Source organism: Homo sapiens, chromosome 3 (genome assembly GCF_000001405.40).
Source record: "Homo sapiens chromosome 3, GRCh38.p14 Primary Assembly".
NCBI classification, from domain to species: Eukaryota; Metazoa; Chordata; class Mammalia; order Primates; family Hominidae; genus Homo; species Homo sapiens.
Window position 1 is genome coordinate 144518976 of NC_000003.12, and position 8709 is coordinate 144527684.

At 36.0% G+C, this 8709-nt stretch overlaps 1 long non-coding RNA gene across 1 annotated transcript; it reads left to right on the forward strand.

Moving 5' to 3' along the window:
* Positions 1 to 2475: 2475 nt before the first annotated feature.
* On the forward strand, positions 2476 to 6733 carry LOC124909444 (uncharacterized). Its single transcript, XR_007096125.1, has 2 exons — positions 2476 to 3792; positions 4426 to 6733. It is a non-coding gene; the product is annotated as an uncharacterized LOC124909444 (long non-coding RNA).
* Positions 6734 to 8709: the final 1976 nt, after the last annotated feature.

Consider the following 8709-nt stretch of genomic DNA (forward strand, 5'->3'; position numbering starts at 1 on the left):
AAATTATTATTGCTGCTTTTCCAAATTTTCAGTGAACATTTCAAAATTTCCAACTGAGTATGTAAATATCAATTGACAAAAAGCATTTTTTGCTGCTGAAATGATACAAATTTACATATAATTTTAAATTTTTCTTGCTTCATTGCACTGACTTAGAACCTTCACTAAAATGGTTAAAAATAATGAGAATGGGAAACCATGTTTTATTTCATATTTAAGTGAAATTACTTTAACATTTCATTATTAATTTTTTAAAATATGCCTTTTATTAAAGTCAAGAAAATTCTCACCTATTCTTAATTTTAATGGATGTTGGAGTTTTTGCATCTAATATTTCTGCATCGAGTGAAATAATATTATGATTTTTCTCAGTTTTTGTATTGACATAGATAAATTCATTGATAGAGTTTTCTAATGTTAAGCAATTTCAAATTCCCATAATTCTATTTGTCAGAATTAAATATAAATAAGTATATTTTTTAGGTAATAAACTATAAGAAGTTTTTACATTTGTATTCATAAGTAGAGTTGGCTTATAATTTTCCATTCACATGGAAAGCTGTTTTCATACAGTTTGAATCTTTCATACTAGCCATGTAAACTGGATTGGGTAGAATTCTTTATTTTTTTCTATATTTGGGAAATATTATATCTAAGCAATGTTTATTTAAAGCAGTTAGCTGGAATTTTTTTAAATGTTGAAGATCTTTTTCTTTTAACTGAAATGGTTAAATGTAGGCAATTATCAGAATTAATATTAAATGTTTATAACAGAATTTATTTCTTCTATAGTTTGTGAACATTTTAAAAATTATCATTCTTTTTGGCTTTATTCTTCCTTTTTTTGTTTTGTATTTTTAATTGATATATCATGGTTATAAATATTTTTGGCATACCTGTGATTATTTTGATGCAAGTATACAATGTGTTACAATGTGTAATGATCAATTCATGATAATTAGGATATCTATAATTTCAAATATGTATCTTTTCTTCGTATGGGGAACATTACAATTCTTCCAGCTATTTTCAAATATACAATAAATTATTGTTAACTGTCATTTTCTTACTGTACTATTGAATACTACAACTTATTCCTTCTAACTGTATTTCCCTGTTTCTTGGCTTCTATTAAATAAATTGGATGTCCTATACTATCTTGTAAATATTCTATCCAATAGGTTGAAAGTTACATATTTTAATCAGTATATTTAATTGTAGGTTTTGATTAAAACACAAAAATGAAATATGTAATATAATTGCAAAGAAAGGTGCTAGTATAATAATGCAGACGTTTAAAGGAATTGTCTAAAATATTGTTTCAGAACTTAAAAAAGAAAGCCTATGCTGAGATTTTTCAAGGCAAATGAGAAGAGGATTTATGAAGAAAATTTATTTGGCTAGGGTGCTGTGACTTCCACACCCACCACCAAGAGAGAAGGGATAGGGATTTAGCTCTTAGCTTACATCCAGTGAAAGGGCTTCACCAAGACCATTACATCTTGATCTCTTCCCTCTGCTTTACTAGGCAGAGGTAGTCCTCTGCCTTCTGTTTGGGAAAAGTAGAGCATGAGACAGGTGGGGGAGTCAGAGATCCAGTGGAAGAGGGAAGTCAAGTCCTTCTGGCAGTGAGTTAGGTCTGTGCTTTCAGTGCATTGGGGGAGGAGACATGAGCTTCCTTTGAATGAGATATAGGCTATGTGTGAGTGGACCTGGTGGAAGTGTTGTCATCAATGCTATCAGGTCTGATGGGAAGCATTAAGTCTCTCAAAAAGTGATTAAAATCAAGTCACTGGGTTCCTAGGGGCTTCCATGTCAAGGGCACTAGAAGTCAACAGTCCCCGAAGACTGGCGTCTCTATGGAAGCCACAGTTTCTTTATTCTCTTATATTGTCGCTTTTATACCACATTATTTTTATATTTGACAATCCCTATTCTCTATTACTTTCCATATTTCTTTGGGAATCTTGGCAGATTCCTTCTCCCACATATAATTCAAAATAATGTTAGCAAGTTCAAAAAAATCTCACTGAAACATTGATTGAAGTTTTCTTAGATTGTATATTAACTTTTGGTATATTTACATTTTTACTTAGTGTTAGCACACAGGCTGTCTTTCCATTCATTTAGGTCTTGTTTTATGTGCTTCATATACATTTTTTTTTCTTATGGCTGCCTCACTTTTTTCATTTGTTGTAATTGAATTTATTTCCACATTCTGTTTAGCTACTGTTGTTCTTGCAATAGGATTTTCCACATGCAGCAATTTGGTAATGCATGCCCCAGGGAGGCAATTTTTAGAAAAAGTCTCTCAGGAAATTTAAGTTCAGATGTTCTTGGGGCACAGCCAAGAACAGGTGTGAGCCTCCTTTGAACAAGATGAATGAGGCATATGCTAAGCCATTGTAAGACCACAGGGCAACCTGTCATTTATTTCCTTCTCAAAGATTTACTGAATACTTATTATTATGTGCCAGGGACTTCTCTAGAAACTGAGATACTGTAAGTACCCACGTTATATCTAGATATTGGAATACAGACAACAAGAACTACTAGAAAGAAAATCTTGGCTTTATTTAGCCTATATTTTAGCAAAAGAGACCAATAATAGATGGTCTAAGTAAATTATGTACTGTGTCATATGGTGTTGAAGACTAAGGAGATAAAGAAAGCAGGGAAAGGAGATAGGAAGTAGTGGGATGGGCTGAAGTTCCAGGTAGAATGCATCATCTACTGAAGAGAAGAGCATCAAGAGACGGGTAAGTAAGAGAGGTGATAGAGAGTGAGACAGGTCATACAATGAGTTTTAGATCCTAGCAATAATTTTTACTTTAAGTCCAAATAAGATGGAAAGCCATAGGAGAGTTTTCAACAGAGTAGTGAAATGATATGACCTTGGTTTAACTGCATTCTTTTGGTTCTGGGTTGAGGATAGATAAAAGAATAAGTAGCACCGACTCAGGTAAAAGATGAGAGTGGTGGAAAGTGGTAAGTTCTGGATCTTCTTTGAAGGTAGAGTGGGAAAGATTGGCTGACTGGATTAGTGTGGGGTGTAAAAGAAACATAGAAGTCAAGAATGACATCAATGCTTTCAATCTAAAAATCTAGAAACATGGAGTTGCCATTAACTTAGGTGGTGAATACTGTGGAAGAAGCCAATTTGGGTCAGGAGCTCAGTTTTAGACATCCTATTTAAGGAATACCTGTTAGAAATCAAGTAGAGATAGTGATTTGGTGGTTGTTGAGTATGAAAGGTAGGGACCACAAAAGATGTCACAAATGTGGGAGCTATGAGAACACCGATGGTATTCAAAGCCATGAAATTGGAAAAGATCACCTAGCACGTAAGCACTGATAGCACAGAGAAGAGAATCAAAGACTGAGCCTTGGAGCATTCTAACATTTAGCAGTGAGGAGGAAGAGGATGACTCAGTGAGAAGAGTCAGGTGCAGGGACCAGAAAGGTAGAAAAAAAAAAAAAAACAGCCAAATACGTTGTGATTTAAGCTAAGTGAGGTAACTGCATCAAAAGGGGAGTTTTGCTGTAAATAATAAGAGAGAAATGGGACAGTAACTGGAGGAGGAAGAGGATAATGAAAGTCTTTTTGGAGACAGGTGAAATTACAACATGCTTTTGTCTGCTTCAAACAGTGAACCACAGGAGAAGAAAAGAATAAGTGGAGTGATGTATTGGAATGACCGAGAAAGAATGAGACGTAATTTACAAGTGAAAGGAATGGCCTTGACTAGGAGTGAAGATACACACAAAGAATATGGACATAGTTGCAAGCAGGTGGGCAGATATTACAATAGGAGCTTGTAGAATTATTCTCTCAATTGCTTCAATTTTTTATTGAGAAAAGAACCAAGGTCATTAACTGAAAACAAAAATGGTGAAAGGTGTGCTGGAGATTTGCAGATAGAGAAAAATGACTGCAACAGTGACTTAGGAGTCAGACTGTTTCAGCTCCAATCTGTGAATACTGTATGAAATATCACTGATTGTCCACCCTTGAAATTATCTTCTCCTTCCTGTATTATGGTTTTGCAAATTTTAGCTTAACACATTATCTTCTGGAACATCTAGGCATTCTTTGTAGCTAGGTATGTCTCTTTTTCCAAGTGTAGCCAATGAGAATTAGGAAGAAGTGTTGTTTATAATTTCTGGGAAATTGTCTGACTAAGGAGAAGCTGTATGCTTTCTCTTTTCCTGCTTACTGTTGTACTATTGCTTGGATTGCAGATGTAATCCTTGATTGCCAGATATTTGAGTATACTAATTGGAGCACGAACTAAGAGATCTAGGTTTCTTAGAAAGCAGAGGCCTAGACAAACTTAGGTGCTAATTTATTATTCAGGGGAGTAAGAGTAAAAGGGAAAGTGAGGAGGAAAATCAAATATAAATTTGTTTCTGATTCATCCACAGCTTAAGAAGAAAACACAGCTGGACCTACAATCGGGGAAAATCCATAACAGGCAAGACAAGAGCAATTTCTCTGCCAGCTTCTTGCTACCTGCTGTCTCTAATTGGCCAAACTTCTCACGGTGGAGTGCTCTCTCCTCCCCATGTCTAAGTTGTCTTGTCTGGCCCCTCCAGGCAGGCACTGGGAAGCCATAGCCTCAGTATGACAGGTTGAGTCACACATGGCAGTACAGCTGATGAGTGCCTGCTCCTCTGGGCATGATGGACACTCTGCCAGTGTGTGGCCCTTATCCCAAGGCAGGCAGAGACAAGCAATAGTGGGAGAAGATAAGAAGATGGTGATGACCAGGGCTCTGCAATTGTGGGGACTTTGTGACTTGTTGCTGAGACCACTCTGTCCAGGAGCTAGGGCACAGAGCTATGGGCTCTTGTTCTTATTCTGGGGCTATCATCTAGGGAGATCATGAGGAAATTGTGTGTCTCCATTCCTTCATCTGTTTCAAGACAACATTTTATGAGGTTAGTAAAAATGACTGGAAATAATGTTCTGTCATTCTATTAATTCAAAGAAGTTTGAGCACCTTCTGTGTTTACTTCCTCTCAGTTATATATTTATCTAACAGTGTATTGCTAAGAAATACTTCAGAACATATTCATGTAATAGCTGGATTCTAGATTCTAGATTCTAATTTCTAGATTCTAATTCTAATCTAGATTCTAGATTCTAAACATGGAATATTCTTACTGCAATGGCAGTGAGTTGGGCAAATAATAAATAGTGCAAGTTCCTAAAACAAAGTGCTGCAGCACTGACAGAGAGACCATGATATTCTGTTGATTAAATTGACTTCAGTTTGGTCATCAAATAGGGCAAGAAACTTTTAAAATATCCTGTTTTGTAATTAGTCAAAAAACATGACATGAAAAGCCTTCCTCTCTTGATCTTTATTCATGCTCTACGGTATTTTGAAAACTAAAAATAAATAGCCAAACCAGTGGATTCTACACAGTTGAAGGTAGAAAAGGGAAGGAGGCAGTCTCACTTCTCCCCATAAAAAAAATGGTATGTGCCAAATGAGCAGCAAAGAGAATAAGAGGAATGGCTCAGGTCACCCAGGGCTGGGCTGAGAAAAAGAGGAGTAGAGCTTGAATGGGTCTTTCAGAAAGGACACATGTCAGATAAGGTGGTGGGTTGATAGTGGCATTACAGAACTATTTAAAATCCTTTCAGTAGGGGGAAGAAGAAATCAATTAATCTGAGTCATGTGGTTTGGATGTTAAAGCCTGATATCCTGTCAGTGTTGCTATAGGCTCCCTGGAGAGATATTTTGGCTCTTGGCAAAGTGCTGTTGTTGACCTTACTGCCTGTAACATTCAAAGGCTTAGAACAAAAACTGACCAGAAAGAAAGTGAAAGGCTAACCAAGAGATTTGTAGGTCAGAACATAGCAAGTGTCTGTTATTCATGTTAATGGAATGGAAATATGACATAGATAATAAATAGTCATTGCTTTAGTTAGGACTAAGTTTGGTCACAAATGACAATAAACTCAAAATAAAAGGGGGTTAGTCACAATAGAAGTCTATTTTCCTCTCACATATATGTCCAGAGGGGAAGCCCAGGGGTGATATGAATATGATGGTCCATGATGTTATGGGAGCAGGCTTCATCTGTCTTGCTGCTTGCCATGCGTGGTCTCCATACCCAAGGATCACATGGTCTCACATGGCTGTTTCAACTCTAGCCATAAAAACTAGTTCTGACAATAAGAAAGAGAGCAAGAAAGGGATGGGCCATATCCCTGACCTTTAAAGATATTTCCAAGAAGATGTGACCTATTTATGTGTACATACCATTTCCAGAACTTCGTTATCTACACACACTTAGCTGAATGGTCAGACAGAAAGTGTAATTTTTGCGTGATGCTGCCAGATGCCCAGCTAAGATTTGGGGTTCCTATTACTGAGAAAGAAGGGAACACAATCTTGAAAGGACAACCAGCAGCCTCTGTCCCAATCATCTGAGACACTAGCATTTGGTTTTCCAAACAATTTTATAATTTTGAGCAATATATTTGCATTGTAATTTTTAAAACTTAATATCAATTTTTTTTATTTTGTTGTTCATTTAACCCACTTACTGAGCAGTACAGAATTAAAATTATAATTTCATATAGATATTGACATTTCATTTCTTCTGTGAGCCTAAAAATCATGGATTTTCCATTCTTTCAGCAGTAGTCTCTCATTGTAGTGATGCCTAAGTTATGATTTTGAATGCGCAAAAGAAATAAAATTTATTTACCACTAGAGTCCTGCGTATTTCTAAATTACTGTCTTCTATTTTCTTAAGCATTTGTTTGCTCACTCAGTGAACATCTGTATATGTATGGTAATATGGGCTAGAGAAAGAAGGTAAGTAAGACATACTCCCTGCCTCAAGAATTCCATTTTCTTCAACAAGCATGAGATGCCTACAGTGTGCCAGGCACTGTGTTCACAGAGTACACAACAAGACCCTGATCTTTGAGGAGCTCTCCAGTGATGAGGAAGGCAGCTGCAAACAAATCCATAGAATTCCACAGGATAATCTTGGGTGCAATGGGATATATATGTATAGGGAGTCAAGAGTCAAATGGGGGAAATAACCTATTATGCAAATAAGTGCAGCTTATTAAATACCCTAATAAAGTTATATGCTAAAGAAGAAGTATCCAATATTTTTAAAACATGATTTTTCTTTTTAAAAAATGTAGAGTTATCTTTTACTTTTACTTCTACCTCAGCTAGTTTTACAATTTTGATTTGTGGCCATTTTTTTTTTCTTGTTGACAATCCTTCATCCCTACTTTCATAAGTACAGCAGAGACCTCATTACATTTTGAGGAACTGTCCTCCCACTTTCAGACCATGGGGAGGGGTGAGCTTGACCTGCTCCCCGTGCTAATTCTGAATTGGGCATGTGCCGCAGACTTTGATGAGTAAAGCCCATCCTCTTGACAAATGAGCCTGGTTGTGGGAATAAGCGCATCACCAGAGCCAAGCCAATGAGACTTAATTAAGGAACTTCATTGCACAATGTAGAAGGAGCAGCCACTGTTCTGCTAAACTAAGAGGCTCAGAAAAATTAAATCTGACTCTGCTGGGTGGTCACCTTCTGAAAAGAAGCTGACTAAGAGGGATGTGAACCAGCCACAGGCCGAGGAGAGTCAGAGACTGAATAGAAGCATGATTGAATTCCTGGACCTAGCCATGTTCAAAGCCAGTTCTAGCCCTATATTTTCACTTTTATTTCACAGGAAACTATTTTGGGAGGCTTAAGCCAATATCAATTGGGTTTCTGCATTTGCATATAAAAGAGTTCTGAAAAATACATAGAGTTGAAGAGAACATAATGAATGAAGTGGCCAACACCTGATATAGGGTTTAAGTGTTTATAATCATTCCTACTTCCACCCTCTACATAAAGGCTTCCCCAGCAATGTTCCTTGTAAATAGGCTTTTCTACAAAACTAATGATTTCATGAGAAATAGCTTGTTGAAGAGCATTGCTAATTATATCAATCTCTTGGGGCTACATTTTATTAAAATCACTGAGAAATCTTTCAGTAAGGAAACCGGCAATGGTGTTTAAAAACAGTGTCCCTCAATTTTATTTATTCATGGATACCACATTTCCTAATAAGCTCCTATTTTGAAGAATATATTAATAGTTTTTAAAATCTTGCTATTCAATATCACCTGGAGGAAGATTGTAGGTCACAGGTTAGTGATAATATTTAAATGCTTTGTGGTCTTTGAGTTTGGTTCCCAGATTGAGAAAATGGAAAAGAAATCTCTCATCATCACCTAGACAACCCCTTTCTTCATAAAGCCTAAGACTTGTTAATATATTTTGTTGAACTTTTGGAATGAATGTCATAGCTGTTCAGATTTTTGACATATTAAAGATGACTACTATTCTGGATGATGAACATGTGGCTACATAAAGTCAGCTGGAAAGGTGCAGTTCATCACAGAATTGTCAAAGATTCCAGTCAGATTTTGGCTTAACTGTAATATCAGAGTGCCAAGCCACATTTGGAAAAGTAGCATCATTTCTTTTATTATTATTAGAGCAATTCCTACATTTAAAAACAATTTAACTTTTAATTTATTTCAGAAAAAGACTGACATAAGGTAGATAGAAGGGTATTTCGGAATTAAAACATTTATTCTCATTTATATTCTTTTTAGCAATTTCCTAAATATATGTAGCACTGAAAAAAGAAAGAAAACATAATAATTG